The sequence below is a fragment of the Homo sapiens genome, chromosome 10 (assembly GCF_000001405.40).
Source record: "Homo sapiens chromosome 10, GRCh38.p14 Primary Assembly".
Taxonomy (NCBI): domain Eukaryota; kingdom Metazoa; phylum Chordata; class Mammalia; order Primates; family Hominidae; genus Homo; species Homo sapiens.
Genome location: NC_000010.11, coordinates 99,684,600 through 99,703,561, shown reverse-complemented (window position 1 = coordinate 99,703,561; position 18,962 = coordinate 99,684,600). Strand labels below are relative to the sequence as shown.

The 18,962-nt window shown below is 40.4% G+C and overlaps 2 protein-coding genes and 1 pseudogene across 5 annotated transcripts in view; 2 read left to right on the top strand and 1 right to left on the bottom strand.

Moving 5' to 3' along the window:
• COX15 (cytochrome c oxidase assembly factor COX15) overlaps positions 1 to 9,269 on the top strand; it is a 37,835-nt gene extending 28,566 nt beyond the window's left edge. For both annotated transcript variants that reach the window (XM_006717634.4, NM_001320974.2), the window contains one exon: positions 7,021 to 9,269. Coding sequence is in view for 1 of the 2 variants with exons in the window: in NM_001320974.2 (NP_001307903.1) it covers positions 7,021 to 7,086 (66 nt within the window). In the remaining variant the exon portion in view is untranslated. The remainder of the gene's footprint in view (positions 1 to 7,020) is intronic.
• The window catches only part of ENTPD7 (ectonucleoside triphosphate diphosphohydrolase 7), a 51,733-nt gene that overhangs the window by 7,680 nt on the left and 25,091 nt on the right, over positions 1 to 18,962 (bottom strand). For all 3 annotated transcript variants that reach the window (NM_001349962.2, NM_020354.5, NM_001349963.2), the window contains 7 exons: positions 17,667 to 17,770; positions 14,812 to 14,868; positions 12,044 to 12,177; positions 7,440 to 7,606; positions 4,704 to 5,028; positions 2,504 to 2,589; positions 889 to 1,050 (listed from right to left, as the gene is read on the bottom strand). In NM_001349962.2, the coding sequence (NP_001336891.1) occupies positions 889 to 1,050; positions 2,504 to 2,589; positions 4,704 to 5,028; positions 7,440 to 7,606; positions 12,044 to 12,177; positions 14,812 to 14,868; positions 17,667 to 17,770 (1,035 nt within the window). The remainder of the gene's footprint in view (positions 1 to 888; positions 1,051 to 2,503; positions 2,590 to 4,703; positions 5,029 to 7,439; positions 7,607 to 12,043; positions 12,178 to 14,811; positions 14,869 to 17,666; positions 17,771 to 18,962) is intronic.
• On the top strand, positions 5,613 to 6,223 carry EBAG9P1 (EBAG9 pseudogene 1; annotated as a pseudogene).

Genomic DNA, 18,962 nt, shown 5'->3' with positions numbered 1-18,962 from the left:
AGATCTAGTTTTGTCTGGTTTGACCTGCAGTGTTCTTCTAGAATGCGAATCTCTAAACTGAAAGACTTCATAAAAAATATGGATTTCTGACTTTTCTGGACAGATGAGAACTGGCAAATGCTGGGACAGTGCTTGTGTGTGACAGTAACCAGCCCATTAACTGGGATACATGCTCCAGTTGTGGGCAACCCCCACCTAGCCCACTTCCCTCACTTCTGTCGCCTGCCTGGCTGCTGACGGTATTGAGTTTAGAGGAACAGACATCAAAGATACAAAATTCATCTGAGTTTATCTGAAATAGTCCAGGGTACAGGTACCTAAAAATTGTCCCAAATATCTGACAGTACATAAAAGTAAGGTATCAGGCTACCAGAGTTTGATGAAAGTAGCCCCACTAAAAACATCTCACGTCCTTTATTCTAATTCTGACCCACCAAAAAGCCTTCTAAGTCAATGACACAATGTCTGGAGTGCCTCTGTATGTTATGAAAGATTGCTCTAGACATCCTACCCCTGTTCTTTAGTCAGATGTGTTTTCCAGGGTAACCCAAGAATGACATTTTAGCTTGTCAGTATCTTGGAAGTGATTAGTAAGAGCTCAGTCCTAAAGACTGGTTTGTTGTGAGTAAACAAATAAAGCTGGATTTCTGAAACAGCAAAGCTGAGACTCCAGACCAGTAATGCTCAACCTTCTTTCTGTTCGAGCATGCCTGGTAGTAACAGTGGCTCACATGGAAGTAAAGGAGTTTGTTTTTGTGAGGGGGTAGAGAGGAAGGTCACTTAAGACCTATTCTAAGCTGGTTAAAAAAAAAAAGAAAGAAACCGATTCTGAGGCATCAACTGATATCCTCTGAGCTCAAGATACCAGATTGGTCAGTCTTACTTTACCTGAGTGGTAAGAATCGTGTTTTATATAGAATGGCTCCCAGCGTCCACTGAACCTCTCGGTCATACACCAGCTGGGCTGTCCGCAGGTTTGGGTAGTCATAGGGAAAGTGGAATCCTTCATGTAAGACTTGGTACATCCAAGCCGATTTAAAACACTGATATCTGTGTGACAAAAATAATTAAATTTTAAAAAAAGAGAAAAGAATTCTAATACTTTCCTTTGCAATAAGCCACTCCGTATTCCCACAAGTTATTAAAAGACCTACCTCCTCCCGCTTCACCTTCCTCACCTCTAAGTGGGTTATTTCTAAGTCAGCCTACTTATCTTGTGTTTACCACAAAGGCAATAATGATACTGTGGCTGTGTTTTTCTTTTTCTTTTTTTTAAGAGTCCCTATCTTCAGAGAGCATATTAAAATATCTACAAATGTAATTATAGGATGTTTGGGATTAGCTTCAAAACAACCCAGTTGAAGTAAGAGGGGGATTGTGGATGGGAAAACAGATAAAAACAAGATGGGCCAGGAGCTGATAAATGTTAGTAGGAAAGCAGGGTGACAGGTACACAGGAGTTGATTACACTATTCTAGTTTTGTTTATGTTAAAACAATTTTTGTTTTTTTTTGAGACAGAGTCTCACTCTGTCACCCACGCTGGAGTGCAGTGGCGCGATCTCAGCTCACTACAACCTCCACCTCCTGGGTTCAAGCAATTCTCCCTGCCTCAGCCTCCCGAGTAGCTGGGATTACAGGCACCTGCCACCAAACCCTGCTAATTTTTGTATTTTTAGTGGAGACAGGGTTTCGCCATGTTAGCCAGGCTGGTCTTGAACTCCTGAACTCAGGTGATCCACCCACCTCAGCCTCCCAAAGCACTAGGATTACAGGTGTGAGCCACCATGCCCGGCAATTTTAAACAATTTTTAACTAAAACATTTAAAAATGAAAGGACCAATGAACCATACTGGCAAAATGTTATTTGTTGAAGCTGTGTGATAGTTACATGAGGGTTTATGTTGCTATTCTCTCTACTTTTCTATATGTTTGATATTATCTATAATACAAAGTTAAAAAAAAAATCACTTTTGGCCGGGCCCGGTGGCTCATACCTGTAATCCTAGCACTCTGGGAGGGCGAGGCAGGCGGATCACTTGAGCTCAGGAGTTCAAGACCAGCCTGGCAACATTGCGAAACCCCGTCTCTACAAAAAAATACAAAAATTGGCCAGGCATGGTGGCACGTGCCTATAGTCCCAGCTACTTGGGGGGCTGAGGCAGGAGAATCGCTGGAACCCAGGAGGCGGAGGTTGCAGTGAGCTAAGATCATGCCACTGCACTCCAGCCTGGGCAACAAAGTGAGACTCTGTCTCAAAAAAAAAAAAAAATCACTTTTGTTGTCAAATCACTTGTTGAGAACTCTGTTTGGTAACCACTGATTTCTTCTGGCTTTGCTATAATAGGCTCACTATTTTGGCCCCTATCCCTGAGAAAATCAAGTCTGGAATAATCAAATGCTCCCTCAACATGAAATCTAATCTGCATTATTGCTCACTCTCCATTATAATCTGCCATCTAGATTTTAAGTCCACATCTAAGGAGGAAAGGGAAGTAACTTACTTGAGTCGATGCTCATCTGCATGTGATGAAAAGAGGCCATTCTTGAATCTCTGAGTTAGTACCGACCAAGCCATGCCACAGTAATCCTGGATCAACCACAGAGAAATAGTGCAACATGAATTTGGAGGCAAACTCTCTACCTTCCCCACAGTCACAGCTGTTCCATTTCTAAAGTTACTTGTGGGCTACCAGCTGACAAAGGAAAACAGAAATGGTGTGTTCATTCACTAAACACTGCGTCATACCCCTGTTTATTCCCGTCATCCCATGTCTAGCACCAAGCCAGCTTGATGTGGCTTCTGAGCCTCTTAGGCTTCAGAGGGGCTGAGGTTAGGACTAACAAATAGCAACGTCAAAAGACAAAGATAGTTTCATTCTACTCCACATAGGACTGACATGAGCAGGGAGAGCAGATGGAAGAGGATGGTTAGAAACCTGTCATTGGCCTCCCTCGGTGTTGTAATTCTCACCAAAATAATCATTCCTTTTGGTTTGTATGTCTGCTATGTGCCAGGTGCTGTTCTAGATGCCAGGGAATCATGCAGTAAATAAAACAGACAAAAATTCCTGTCCTCAGGAAGCTTACATTCTAGTGGTAGGAGACAGACAATAAACACACACACACACACACACACACACACACATACACACACACACACACACACGGTACGTTGGATAACATAAATGCTCAGGGAAAAATAAAGCAGGAAAGGGCAACAGGTAATATGGGGAGCGTTGTCATTTTGGATAGAGTGGTCCCAGAAGGTGGCTCTGGGAAGATAACGTTTGAGTCAAAGTTAAAAAGGTAAGGGAAAAAAATCGCTTTTACCTGGAAAAGATAATATGTTAAGCCCAATAACTTGAGCCTTTTGGTGTTCAAGGGAATAGAATTTGAAGAAGTTTTGAGATAAGAGAAAGAGTCAGGCCATGGATAGTTAGGGAGCTCTGGGCTCCAGAAAAACAGGGAGCGTGAAGGTCGTCCTGGAGGCTGGAGAGAAAGGAGCAAATACAAACCAGGTGTCCCACAGTATTTCTTAAGGACTGTCTTTTGGGAACAGAACAGTACAGATACTGCAGATATTATTTTGCTGGAAGCCTTACACTAAGAGAACCCTAGAGAATTGTAAGAAAGAAAGAGAAAGGTAGGCAGGGAAGAAGGAGGGAAGGGAGGGAGGGAGGGAAATATGAGGAGAGGCTGGGTACGGTGACTCACGCCTGTAATCTCAGCACTTTGGGGGGCCAAGGCGGGCAGATCACCTGAGGCCAGGAGTTCCAAACCAGCCTGGCCAACATGGCAAAACCCCATCTCTATTAAAAATAATAAAAATTAGCCAGGCATGGTGGTGGGCATCTGTAATCCCAGCTACTCGGGAGGCTGAGGCAGGAGAATCACTTGAACCCGGAAGGCAGAGGTTGCAGTGAGCTGAGATCATGCCAATGCACTCCAGCCTGGGCTACAGAGCGAGACCCCATCTCAAGAAAAAAAGAAATATGAGGACAGATTCTCCCATTCGTTTCTCTGATGAAAAAGATAGAGACACGCAACAATTCAAAGAGATGGCCCTAAATAAAGCAGAAAATGATAGAAAGCTGGCTAAACTTTCATCTGTCCAGGTACCAATGATTTAAACTTATATGATGCTTAAGTCCTATATATGCTCAGAGTGAATTTTTACTCCTCTATTTTAAATCTAAACAAACTTCCACCATCATTGCTTTTTACAACATCTAATATTCCCAGGGACCCCATACCACTCTGCCTCTTAATACCTCAACCCAAAAGAAAGATGGGCTTGCCCCTCTGGGTGATATCATCTCCAAAAGCACATTACAACAGAAAATAGCTAGCAAGAGGAAAAATACTGGAGGTGACATTTCTTGGGCATAAACATTAAACAAGACTATTGGAAAGTTGGAAGAAAAACCATTAGCCAACACAAAAATTTTATGCCTGGGTAATAATTTGGGTGGTATGACATCCATGGAAAATAAATTTAGTTAATTAGAAGGCAGTACAGCATAGCTAGATCCTTAAGTTCTCTGTCCACTTCCTCATCTGTAAAATGAGTGTTCAAAGGGCTCCTGCAAAGAACAAGTGAGATTCTGTATGCAAAGCCCTTTGCACAGCACCTGGCACAGAGTGAGGCATTCAATAAATGGCTGCTGCCAGCATAAGCCATGTTTATCATTAATAATTTACCTGAGCAGCCTTGGCAAATGTTGGCCCATGGTAGCGGCCACCAATGCGCAACACATCCTCTGTACAATAAAAAAACTCAGAGAAGCCGTAGAACTCGCTGTTGTTGAAGTCAATAGGCGATTGATATATGCCATTGAGTGAGGCCTGGCTGGTGTTGGAGCGAGCCAGCAGGGGGCTCAGCATTGCCCCACAAGACACCCAGTCTCCTCTTCCTCGGACATGTAAGACTTGGCTGTTCCTCTCCACCACATCTGTGAGTCCCACTGGCAGGCAGGGATCCAGAAATGGATTGTCGGGACTCAGACCTGTCTTCTGACCAAGCAATCTGCCACAATGACAAAAACAAACAAACAAACAAACACGTCATGCCTGTATTCAACCTAGTCTAAGAAACACAATGTGCATCAGAAATATCTTACTACTGGTTTTCATGATATCTCTAGAAACGAGGATGGAGTGCAATTTCATCACATAAACATTTAACTTCAGCAAGTTAAATTTAGAAAAAAAAGAGAGGAATATGGTGATCAATTCTGTTCGACATTTTAGTCAACATGTGTATTTCCTAGTCTGTAGTGAAATTGGAGATGTGAATCTGCTGTTCTCCATCTGGTCTTCATTCCCACGTACCTCCTAAAAGTGCAAGGACCTTATCGTGCGGAGTGTGGTTCTAATGTTTAAAAATACAACTGGTAGGGGGTGAGGTGGGAAGGACTGTGGGGAGAGATTCCTGAAGAGCAGACCACGGCAGTGGCCCATGTGCAATGGCTGGCAATGGTGATGGAGCCCATGCCTGCCTCTGAATGAGCAGTGCTGGAACAGAACAGGCACAGCACCAGCTCCAGGAAGCCACCTGCAGAGCCTGGAGCCTCTGAGTGGGGAGAAGACTGGAAAGCTTTGATTCCCACCATGGCCGTAACACAGGTCCAGTTATTTTGAGTTTATACTTGCCTAGCAACCATATTCTCATTCCTCAAAATGATGAGTATGAAGATCTGTCCAAGGACAGAAATTAAGTTGGGGTCCAAGTAACTTTGCCAATTGCAGTTAATTATTCATCAGTTCCTAAACAGACAGATGTTGAAGAGTGGACTTCTTAGAATGAGGATGCGCCCACAGGTGTAAAGACCGAGGGTGAGAATGGAATGAGGCAGTACAACAGAACACTTTACAACAACTGGAACCGACTATTTTAAGGATGTGACACCAACTGTAAGGAAAACTCAGAAAATTGTTATTGAGAAGAGACAATGATCATTTTGCCATCTCAGGAAATAGGTTAATAGACTGGCAGCTACACAAGATATGCCTTTTACTCATCAGTCACCTGATGTAGGTGACTTAGCTACTTGGCAAGAAAATACCAACGCATGGGAAGAAGATGCAGTCTGGCAAGAAGTAGTTTGGAGGCAGCAGAAAACAGCAGACAGAAAAGAAAGGAGTAGAACAAAAGAAGAAAATGGAAAAGGAAGCACAGCAGCTAATGAAGAAGGAAAACCAAAACTGGTGTGAAACTTTCAAAACAAATGATCTTCAAACATCATGGTGCCTGCAGGAGACATCTGAGCACCTCAACCCAAGCAATGTTTGTATAGATTTAGGAGTACTTTCAGAATACAAACACACCACTTGATTTTAATGCATTAGTCAATCATCCAGGGCACCAGGATTCTCCCAAAGCACCTTGAACTCCTAGAGACTAAGACTTACAAAAACAAAATAGACTTATGGGACAATATTTTCTTCAACATGCCGTAAATATAAGATAATTGATTGCTGTGGATAAATTATTACAAACGGGGTATACCAGTACTTCTTCAAGCTAGTGTTCGTAGCTAAATGGTTAAGTATACGTAGGTAAGTGTGTTGTTTGCTTAGTATCAGCCCTGCCCTTTCATCTGTGGTCCTTCTCTCCGTGACTGGGTTTCTCACCCTTCTGGTTACCTAGGCTAGACCCTCAGCACTGCTGGCCATCCTCCCTGCCCTACCTACGCCACCACAATCAATCACCCAATTACTTAAACTGGTTTCATTCCAAAATTTTGTGTAAATTTAATGATGGAAAAGAACTCTGCTTTCTCTTATGCTTTCCTTCAGTGTGCTTAATGATAAAATAAATAATTTTACAGACTTAAAAAACAAAAAAGAAACAAGAAATCCCACCACTGTTTGTACATTAAGGTCTAACTACTTCATCTGGTACTCAAATGAAGAATCTGTGATCTGTCCAATGCTAAAGGAAAAACTGACTATTATGAATTTGATGAGAGACCATTTTAAAAGTTAATTTTAACTATGCTTGCTTTTTATCTTTTAGACATACTACAGAACTGAACTCTCACAAAAGATGCAACTGCACTGTAATTCAACAAACATGTCTTGAACACTTCCATGCAGAAGGAACTGCTAGCAGCTACACTATATATTGTACATTTTAAACTGGCAATTTAATTCATCTCCCTTTTCCCATGATGTTAGGTCTGAATATGGGAAACAGCAAGAGATCACAATAAGCTACTGTACTTTATGAGTCCTAATAACAAAGATCAGAATGCACCCTCACCCAGAGTGGGACTGCTAATAGAGGTCTTTAAGAGATGCTACCCCATTGGCAGGGGTAGTCAGAAAGAAGGAGGAAGCAGGGACTTATCTGTCTTAGGAGGATGTGAGTATTTCTCCCTAATATCTGCAGCCTGACATTATATTTCAGAAACTCAGATCCCATATCAAATGTACCTGTTTTTGTTAAGAGTTTCATTCAGAACAAGGTCTTCGTAGCGCTGCCGGGCAAAGTTGCCTCCGAAACCCAGAAAAGTTGTGACATAAACCCTGTACACGTGTTCAGTGTGTTGCACATCACAGCCCAGGTTGAACTCAGCCAGCAGGATCTTGGCAGCTTCTTCCTATAATACAATACCAAGAGAAAAAGGGAATTTTAGTTTTGGTTGCCTTCTAGAAAGCTATGACATTGCTAATACACGAGGCTTCATTTCTATGACTACTCTTTAAAACATCTTAAGCATTCTTTCATCCTCATAGCATTATTTTAAACAAAGACACAAAATGACAAGACTGCACTAAAAGGTACAAATTAGACACTAAATTAAGAACTAAATATGAAATTAGAAACCCAAAACACTATCTGTAGTTATATAGGAGGTAGAATTACTACAGATATCATTTTCTCACATGTATTTTTCTGTATTTTCCAATTCCCTCAATGGGAATGTGTTATTTTAATAGGAAAACATCCTTTAATAAAAATAAATTTAAGGAACTCTGTGGATCATCATAAGATCTATTCTGTGGCCTTTTCTTTTTCTTTTCTTTTTTTTTTTGAGACAGAGTCTCACTGTGTCACCAGGCTGGAGTGCAGTGGCATGCTCTCGGCTCACTGCAACCTCCGCCTCCCGGGTTCAAGCAATTCTGCTGCCTCAGCCTCCTGAGTAGTTGGGACTACAGGCACGTGCCACCATGCCCAGCTAATTTTTGTATTTTTAGTGGAGACGGGTTTCACCATGTTGGCCAGGATGTTCTCGATCTCTTGACCTCATGATCAGCCCTTCTCAGCCTCCCAAAGTGCTGGGATTACAGGTGTGAGCCACTGTGCCCGGTTCTGTGGCCTTTTCTAACATTATCCAAGAAGCCCTAAGGTTCCTTATGACAGGTTTGGGGATTGGGAAAGTTCAATTTTATTGTACCGCCAATGAAAAGGTGCTATATTTTTTTCTTGAACCTCAAGGGCAGAGGCTGAATTAATCATATTCCTCAGCTCATTCCACATTATCATGGCAAAGCCTCTCTTTTGCTTTATTTATTTATTCTCTTTTATCTTCATACTTAATCTCATTCCATTCTCTGCCATGGGCAACCATTCTAATGTGTTATGTATAATTTTTGTATATATGTATTATTATAAAATGAGGATTCTTGTTTTGAATGTATTTCTTTTTAATTTGTGAAAAATACCATTGTGCCCTGCAATTTCACTCCAAGGTACATACCAAGAGATCCAAAAACTGGGGTGGGCATGGTGGCTCATGCCTATAATCCCAGCACTTTGGGAGGCCAAGGAGGGTGGATCACTTGAGGCCAGGAGTTCGAGACCAGCCTGGCCAACATGGTGAAACTCCGTCTCTACTAAAAATACAAAAATTAGCCAGGCATGGTGGTGGGTGCCTGTAATCCCAGCTACTCAGGAGGCTGAGGCAGGAGAATCGCTTGAACCTGGGAGGCAGAGGTTGCAGTGAGCCGAGATCGTGCCATGGCACTCCAGCCTGAGTGACAAGAGTGAAACCCCATCTCAAAAAAAAAAAAAAACAAAAAAACTTATGTACATAGAAAAATGTGTATATGAATGTTCACAGCAGCACTGTGCATAATAGCCAAAAAGGGAAAACCACTGAAATGTTCATCAGCTGATAAATGGATAAACAAAATACAGCATGGTTGGTCATACAATGGAATGCTGTTTAGCCATTAAAAAGGAATGAAATACCCATACCACGAGATGGCTGAACCTTGAAAACATTTTGCTAAATAAAAGAAGCCAGACATAAAACACCACATATTGTATGATTTCATTTATACAAAATGTCCGGAATAGGCAAATCCACTGGAGAGAGAAAGTAGATGAATAGTTGTCAGGGGTAGGGAGAGGAGAGAATGAGGAGTGACTGCTAATGGGAAATGAGTGGGGAGTGAATATGGGGTTTCTTTTTGGGGCGATGAAATGTTCTGGAATTCAATAGTGGTGGCTGCACAACTTTGTGAATGTACATAACTTTGTGAGTTGTACAAAAAAATATATTAGGCATTCAGGATTATTTAAAATGTTTTAAATGCCATTGTCTCACAGTTTCTTTCATTTTTACCAAGCACTAAGATTCATCTTGAAGAGCCATTATATTGCTATGTGTAGTTACTATTTTTTTTTTTTTTGAGATGGGGTCTCACTCTGTCACCCAGGCTGGAATGCAGTGGTGCGATCTTGGCTCACTGCAACTTCTGCCTCCCAGGTTCAAGCGATTCTCCTGCCTCAGCCTCCTGAGTAGCAGGGTTAGAGGTGCCTGCCCACCCTGCCCAGCTAATTTTTGTATTTTTAGTAGAGACGGGGTTTCACCATGTTGGCCAGACTGGTCCTAAACTCCTGACCTCAGGTGATCCACCCGCCTTGGCTTCCCAAAGTGCTGGGATTACAGGCGTCAGCCACCGTGCCCGGCCTGCTATATGTAAATCTAATTTGTTGCTTGCAAGTATGCATTCCGTACCAGTGTTGCTTTCCATAACCATGTTCCTTTCTAAATCTGCACACACACAAAAGTCATTTCTTTAAGACTTGAAGCCCCAGTCCCGCTTGTCACCTATTTCTTAGTATCAGATCCATGCCTTCGTTTTACCTGTTAAATACATACTAACGAATATAGACTAAAAAGTATCACAACCTAGTTAGTCCCCCACATTTCCAACCCCAGCATGAAATTCTCTGCTGACTGCTAAACTCACATTTCCAACAGTCCTGTGGATATTCTGACATATATGTTCCTTGGGTATCTTAAACTCAATATATCCAAAATTGAAGTCATTAGTTTTACAACTTCTGAACTAGAAGACCAGATAGACGCTCTCATCCAGATCTCTCAGGACAATACTGTTTGCTTAATATCACCCCTGCCCTTACCCCTGTTGCTCTTCTCTCAGTTACTGGGTTCCTCAGTCTTCTGGTTATCTAGGATAGATCCTCAGCACTGCTGGCCATCCTCCCACCCTACTCACACTACCACAATCAATCGCTCAATTACATTGGGTTTTCACTCCAAACTATCCCCTGAAATCTGTCCCCTCCCTTTCATTTCCACTTACTTTGTCTAACTCAGCCCTTTATTACTTCTCACTCAAGGTTCCGTGACCTATATTCTTTCTCCTACTGACACAAAAATTTTTTCACTACAAAAAGATCAGATCACAGTCACACAACTGACATCATCACAAAATTCAGAGCTGAGAAGGACCTTCACAGTTTAATTATTTTATAAATGAAACTGAGGCCCATGTGACTGCCTTACTCAAAAACTTTTGGTGGTTTTCCACTATCTATGGAAATAAAAGCCAGTCCCCTTATGATAGCACTCAATACTGCTCATGATTTAGCTCCATCTTATCTTCCCAGTCTTAACTACTAGCACACCTGAAAATCCTATACTGCAAAAGGCTATTCGTCATTCCCTGGACATTCTGGCCTCTGTGCTGCTTTTTCTGTGCCTTTGTATATAGTGTTCCCTCCATGCAGGTGGCCTTCCCTCAGCCTCCACTCTGCAAAAAAAAAAAAGCCTACTCTCATCCAAGGCCCAGGTAAATACTTTACCTTCCATGAAGCAAGAATGGCTCCCATTCAACTTTGCAAGCTAAGTTGGCTGCCAGTCCCCATATTGCCACAGCTCTCTGTTTAAACCAGATGTTCTCAATGATGGGCAATTTCCACCCTGCCCCACACATCTGGTAATGTCTGGAGACACTTTTGATTGTCACAACTGGAAGGGGGAGGGTTGTTACTGACATCTGGTATAGGCAAGAGATATCATATGATGCATGGGATAACCCCTGATGACAAAGAATTATCTGACCCAAAATGTCAAGAGTGCCAACGATGAGAAGCCCTGGTTTAGATCAAGTTAAGCACTGCTACAGTCTCCCTGATATCACAAGCTGTCTCCACTGACAGATAAATTATAAGTTTTTAGGGACAGTGTAACTCACATGTCTATTCCTTGTACATAATATTGTCTATTCCTTGCACATAATGGGTGTACATAATAGGTGTACATAATGGCTGTACAAAAAGTGTCTGTGTAGGATGAAACTTCTCCCTCAAAATACATTCTTTACATTCTAGTGGGGTAAGGATTATTAGAAGGCCCAGAATGGAATCATCAGTAAGGGGAAAGGGAATAACATTTATTGAACAATAGATATGTATCAAATACTGTGCTCCAGAATGTAAATGCATTATCATGTTTATCCTCAGCAATGGCAGGAGATACCTAGTATAGTTATAATTGTTAAAATGTATTGAACACTTATGCTGGACAGTTTGCTAAATGCTTTACAAACATGGTATTATTTCATCCTCATAACTTTATGAGGTAGATACTATTATTATTCCTTTTTCACACAGGAGGAAGCTGAGGCTCAGAGAGGTAACCTACTCAAGATAACGCAAGCTAGCAAGTATCTGAACAAATATTTAGAGCCAGGTAGGTTGGTCTAAGTCCAAAGACAGTGTCCTTCCTTCTCAAATACTAGCATTCCTAGCAACTAAATTTCCCTAAAAGGTAAAGTACCTGCTTTGCAGGAAGGACAGAGGTTGAGGTAGGAACTTCATAAGCAATTTGGAGAGAGGCTCCTCCCATATCCAGTATCCCTACTGTCCTTCTCCGTCCTGCTGCCAATTCCTGGGTAGCCTCAGCATCTGATTCTGAAATAAATAAGAGAACAAAAAGGCCCTAGTAATTAAAAAATAAAATTAAGTCAAACCCCCAAAACAGCAATCCCTTGAAAATTTGAAAGCAGGCAGGTGCCATGGCTCACACCTGTAATCCCAAAACACTGGGAGGCCAAGGTGGGAGGATTATGTGAGCCGAGGAGTTCAAGACCAGCCTAGGCAACATAGTGAGACACTCTCATAAAAAAAAAAAATTTTTTTTAATTAGCTGGGCATGGTGGTGCACACCTGTAGTCCCAGCTACTCAGGAGGCTGAGGCCAGAGGATCATTTGTGCCCAAGAGTTTGAGGCTGCAGTGAGCTATTATCGCACCACTAAACTCTAGCCTCAGTGACAGAGAACCTGTCTCAAAATAAAAAAAAGAAAGCAAACAAGTATACTAACTGAATCAACTATATATTACACAAAGAATAATTCTTGTGAATTACTTAAACATGACATTTTGACTACGTATCCCTAGTAGGATATAGCCTAAGGACAAAAGAAACAAATATCTTAAGCTACATCGCAGTAGTCTTGTTAACAATATTGTTGGTTTTATTATTTAAAAATTATGAAGGGAGACTGAGGCAGGCAGATCACAAGGTCAGGAGTTCGAGACCAGCCTGACCAACATGGTGAAACCCTGTCTCTACTAAAACACAAAAATTAGCCGGGCATGGTGCTGCACACCTGTAATCCCAACTACTCAGGGGGCTGAGGCAGGAGAATCGCTTGAACCCGACAGGCGGAGGTTGTAGTGAGCCGAGATTGCACCACTGCACTCCAGCCTGGGTGACAGAGCAAGACTGTCTCAAAAAAAAAAAAAAAATTATGAAACATATTGTGGAATAAAACAAATAAATGTTTATGTCAATATCTTTAGGAACAAAGATTCAGCATAACAGAACAAAAAGGATATAGGTATAAAAATCAAATAAATTAATAGCACCCTATAATCTTACATATGAGTCAGAAATATGACTATGAACTCATTTATTTTTCTCTTTCTAAAAAATACATATTTCCTAGCTGTGTTCACTGAAAGGCCTAGAAGCAATGATATCCCAGGAGTAATGACCACCTGTGGTATCTGGACCAATAATCTCTAAATACCATCTTTTACTAAAAGAAACCAGGGCTCTTTTAAAAACAGGCCAATGCCAGGTCTAGGGTAGAAAGTATACAAGATGACCCTGGAATACATTGCTGTACCAGATAGCAAGGGGAATATAAAAGAGTATTGGGGTCATATTAAAAGGATACAGCAGCCAACCTAAAGATGCTCCTTAAAATACTAATAATGTGATGGGCTCTAATGCATCTAATATATTAAAATCCATGAGTTCATAATAATAATTAAAACTTTTTTTTCACTGGTTACCTTTGGAAGTTGCTAGACACCAACTCATTATTCAGAAATGTGATAAATAAAAAGAATCAAGGATTTATTCTGTCTTTCCCATAAGAACTATATGTCAGGGTAACCAAAGAGTTGATCAAGAAAAGTTCATTACATAAAAATTCTAGCTGTTAAATGCAGAAGGAATGACAGAATTAGAAATATCACCATTTTGCAATCTCTAATGAAAAACATGTCCAAGCAATGATCACAATTGGCTATTACCACAATTCCATGAAAGGCAGATAAGGAATTTTAATACTAAGTTAGATCAGGCTGATAATACTTGAACTCTCAATACCTGATCAGTCTGAGCATGACAAAAAGTGAGTCAACCAGACATTACAAAACTCCTGATGTGAGTAGTGGAAAACACACAGCGCCTTCTATGATTTAGTCTTGCAGATGGAATTGAATCTGAGTCTAATCAAACATCTATATCTGACCTCCAGTTTAAAGGACATATGAGGGGATAAGAAACATGTTAAAGAAAACATGTTAACCCCACAAAGATGCAGTCAATCAAATCTAGCATGTGGCAAATTCTTTCTACCAGGTGATCCAATTTTTTCTTGCTTTTAAAGGCAGGGGAGTGAGGTGGTAAGGTTAACAATTATAGATTAAAAGAGACTAAAGAGACATATTAATCAAATGCAATGCATGACCCTTGTTCAGATTCTGATTTGAACAAGCCCACTACGAATAAACATTCTTGAGAAAATCAGGAAAATCTATACCTGGATAGGGTATTAGATACGTATTGTATGATATTAGAAATTGTTAATTCTATTAAATTTAAAAATGGCATTATGGATATATTTTTTGTTCATTTTGAAACCCCTTATCTGTTGTAGATACATACTGACATACATGAAAATAAAAATTACATGTCTGGGGTTTGCTTTTTAAAACATTCAATGAGAAAAAAAAACCTTTAATACATGGGGGGATATGGGGGAGAAATGGCAAAACATTAGTAAATATTGAGCCTGGGTAATGGGTCCATGGAGGTTCATTTTATTATTCTACTTTTGTGAATGTTTGAAACTTTCCATATTAAAAAGTTAAAAAGAAATCAAAGAAAGCAAATTAGGACTGGAAAATGAAGCATCTTATGTTTGAAAAAAGAAAAACAACTCAAAATTTGCATTTACATGCTACTGATAGGTTATAACTTAAATCTTCAGCCCTTAGGTAAACTGTCATAAAAAGACAATATTACTCACCATCCTCGTGGTCGAATCTTCCCAAAACAAAGTTGATTCCAATCCATGCATAAACCCCTAAGTAAGAAACAGAAAAGCCCTCACTTAATTCTCTACTGCTATGCCATGTATACACCTCTCCCTTAGGGCTTCTCTTTCCTCTTTTTCTTGGAAAAAGTAATCATAGTATTTTATTCCATACTCTCAATGTAGGAATTTCAAATCTTTCATCTTGTGATTTTTTTCCCTTTTAAAATTATTTGCATCTTCTAAATTTCCTCAATGAATAGAAATTAATTGTATAACAAATGTCTAAGAAGTATAAATCATCTGAATGTCACGAAGATATCGAAAAAAAAGAAAAAATGTAAATTTTGGAGTTCTAGTTCTGGGCAATCTTGTCTCCCCACTGAATACAAATATAAACTCTAGATAGAATGCATGGAGCAGCTTTCTGGAAACTCTGAAAGTAAATGATAATGAGCACACCGGGAAAGAGACCAGGGTTTAAACTACCACCAAGCCAGTAGTGAGTGTCCCATTTTTTCCCCCTCAGATATTACCTGGTCTAGACTTAAGAGCAGCTTGAAACATGAAAGTAAACACCAGGTGTGAACAGAGGAACTTCAACTCATTTTCTGGTCCAAAGAACAGAAAAAGGAATGCCAAAAGTTCAGAGAAAATAAGGGAAATCTCCTGCTTTTTTTTTCTTTCTTATTTTGTTCTCTCTAACCTTAGGCAACAGAGGTAGAATTTGAGCAGGTACCTAAAACTCTGAGGGCTTTGAATTCTTTTCTCTGACCAGAGAAGCTGTAGCTTCAAGACTGTGAAACAAATCCTATTGTTTATTTAGGCTCCCTCTGTCCTCCTACCGCTTGGCCCTGGATGCAGATGCAGTCATGAGAAGTGCATGGCAGAGAGTGGGCAAATTAAAGCCCTGGTATTCTGACAGGAGGATCATGAAAGGGAGCTCCAAGGAACCAGAAAGTGGCAGAGGGATCACAGACAGTAGGGAGCAAAGTTGTGTATGAACCCCTGGGCTCACCTCCAAGCTACAAATACATGGATCTGACCCTAAACAATATCCAAACAGCTCTGAGAGCTGAACTACAGGCTAGGCCACTGCCCAGGTTCCAGATTAGCCACTGGCTGATACACAGGACAAATCCAAATAGCAGTGGCCAAGGCTTTGAAAAATGAATGAATAGGCTGGGCACGGTGGCTCACACCTGTAATTCCAGCACTTTGGGAGGCTGAGGTGGGTGGATCACGAGGTCAGGAGATCAAGACCATCCTGGTTAACACAGTGAAACTCCGTCTCTACTAAAAATACAAAAAATTAGCCAGGCGTGGTGGCACACGCCTATAGTCCCAGCTACTCGGGAGGCTGAGGCAGGAGAGTCGCTTGAACCAGGGAGCGGAGGTTGCAGTGGGCCGAGACCACGACACTGCACTCCAGTCTGGATGACAGAGCGAGACTCTGTCTCAAAAAAAAAAAAAAAAAAAAAAAAAGAAAGAAAGAAAGAAAGAAAAGAAAAATGAACTAATAGAATCACGGGCCGGCCGCAGTGGCTTGCGCCTGTTATCCTAGCACTTTGGGAGGCTGAGGCAGGCGGATCACGAGGTCAGGAGTTTGAGACCAGCCTGACCAACATGGTGAAACCCTGTCTCTACTAAAAATACAAAATTAGCCAGGCATGGTAGTGCATGCCTGTAATCCAAGCTACTTGGGAGGCTGAGGCAGGAGAATCGCTTGAACCCAGGAGGTGGAGATTGCAGTAAGCAGAGATCACACCATTGCACTCAGTGTTGGTAACAAGAGTGCAACTCTGTCTCAAAAAAAAAAAAAAAAAAAGATTCACAGCCTACAGAAAGCAGCTCAGAACTTGAGATCAACTGCCTCCTAAAACAAAAAAAAAAAGTTCTCTTTGATTTAAACAGGACCCAGAGTCTCATAATGTAATATTCAAAATGTCCAGGATGGAATATAAAAATACTTGGCATACAAAGAACCAGGAAAATCTCAACTCACAAGAGAAAAGACAATCAAAAGATGCCAACTCTGAGATGACACATATATTGGAATTATCAAAGATATTAGAGCAACCATATAACCAAGAAATATGGGCAGTCCTACAATGAATGGAAAGATAGAAGGTCTCAGCAAAGAAACAGAAAAGAAAAGAAATAGAATATTAAGAAGATCAAAATAGAAATTTTACAACTGAAAAATGCAATACTGAAATTTTAAAAGGTAAATCTTTTCCCATGTATATGTCTGCAATTAGAAGACATATAAATCTCCTTCTCGTTTATAAGAAATGGAAATATAATTCATCAAACTGGCCAATTTGGCTGCATGAGAACACATATTCACTCTAAAAGTACAAACCCAATAGTGTGAGATTCCAGGGAATTATCAATACTGCATAGTAATTGCAATGAAGGCATAACAAAACAAAAGTAACTCATTCTGATCATCCCTTGGAATTAAAGTTTCTCCTTACTTTAATAATTTACCTTACATTTGACTTTGACAAACTCAATACAACTCCTAGAACTATATATGTTTTCAAAAGTACAGTTAGCTAACCAAATATCCAACTGAAATCATTAAATACTAATACATTCTTATAAACATATTGCTTAGTACTAAGTTAAAAAGAGATATACATTTTTGACTTCCAGAACCAGCATTCTAAACAGATGCCAATGCAAAATATGCAAATAATCAAATCAACTATGTAGCAGAATCAAGAAAATTATTGGCAGAAAAATTAAAATCCGATATATAGAATAATTCTAAACACCCGTTAGAGAGGCTGTGCCATGGTTGGCTTAGAGGTTAACCAGCTGCACCCCTTAAGGCCCAGTACCTTCCTGCTTCCCAGAGATCACTTCTGCTTGAGACTGTGAAAAGAGGAAGTCAAACTCCAGTGGTAAATCTTTCACTAGGTCAGCCAAGATAGCCAACTGCTTCCTGCAAGAAAGAACAAAAAATCCCAAAGTTAGTCACTAAACTCTCTTCTCATAAACTGCCTCAACTTGTCCTTCTACTTAGCCTTGTCATGACCTCACTGTTCACCTACCTCATCTACTTGTCCAGCCCTGCTTCTTTTTGGTACCGCCTTTGATTTTAAAAGTTTAAACTGCCTCCAGGTATAGCCTCCTACCTAAAAGGCAACATGGTAATAGTAATACTTTCCCCTTATATGATGTTATTATTCAAAGAGTGTTAAAAGATGAGGCTATGAGACTACGGTTCTATGACTCTCACAGGCTGAGTACAAACAAGCCACAGGAAACTGCAGCCAAGTTGCATAAACTATAAAATTGATGTAATTACATTATTCCTCACTACTGTAAAACAAAGATGTTAAATTAAGGAACACAATCTCATCCTCAAATCTTACACAACATAGAAACAATGCTTCACATTACCACACAAGATGTACTGTTGGTTCCACAAGTTTTAATGTAATCCTTTACATAAGCTAACAATTAACTTTTTTTTGAGACGGAGTTTCACTCTTGTTGCCCAGGCTGGAGTGCAATGGCATGATCTCGGCTCACTGCAACCTCTGCCTCCCAGGTTCAAGTGATTCTCCTGCCTCAGCCTCCCAAGTAGCTGGGATTACAGGCATGGATCACCACACCCGGCTAATTTTGTATTTTTAGTAGAGACGGGGTTGCACCATGTTAGTCAGGCTGGTCTCGAACTCCTGACCTCAGGTGATTCACCTGCCTCGGCCTCCCAAAGTGCTGGGATTACAGGTGTGAGTCACCTTGCCCAGCCACAATTAACTTTTTAATCTCCTTTTCCATATTTCAAGGGTTGATTTTTTTTTCATTGTGAAAATCTTACCATTTGAAAACCCTAGATCAGGATCAAAATCCAGAGGACATAACAACATTTCCAATTTGGGGAAAACACTTGAAACTTTGTATCTATAGGGTTGTCTTTCCTCTAACATTTTAAGCATGTAATCAATATTATCAAGCAAAGGAAAGCAAAGAAACAAAGCTAGAAGTAATAATATGCATCTAGAGAAAATGTTAGTTAAAATAAGACAAGTTATCTTGGATTAAAAAATATTCAATACAAAAATATTCTGCTGGCTCAGACAGTTGTCAGTACTACTTGATGAAGAATGTTGTTAGCACTTCAAAGT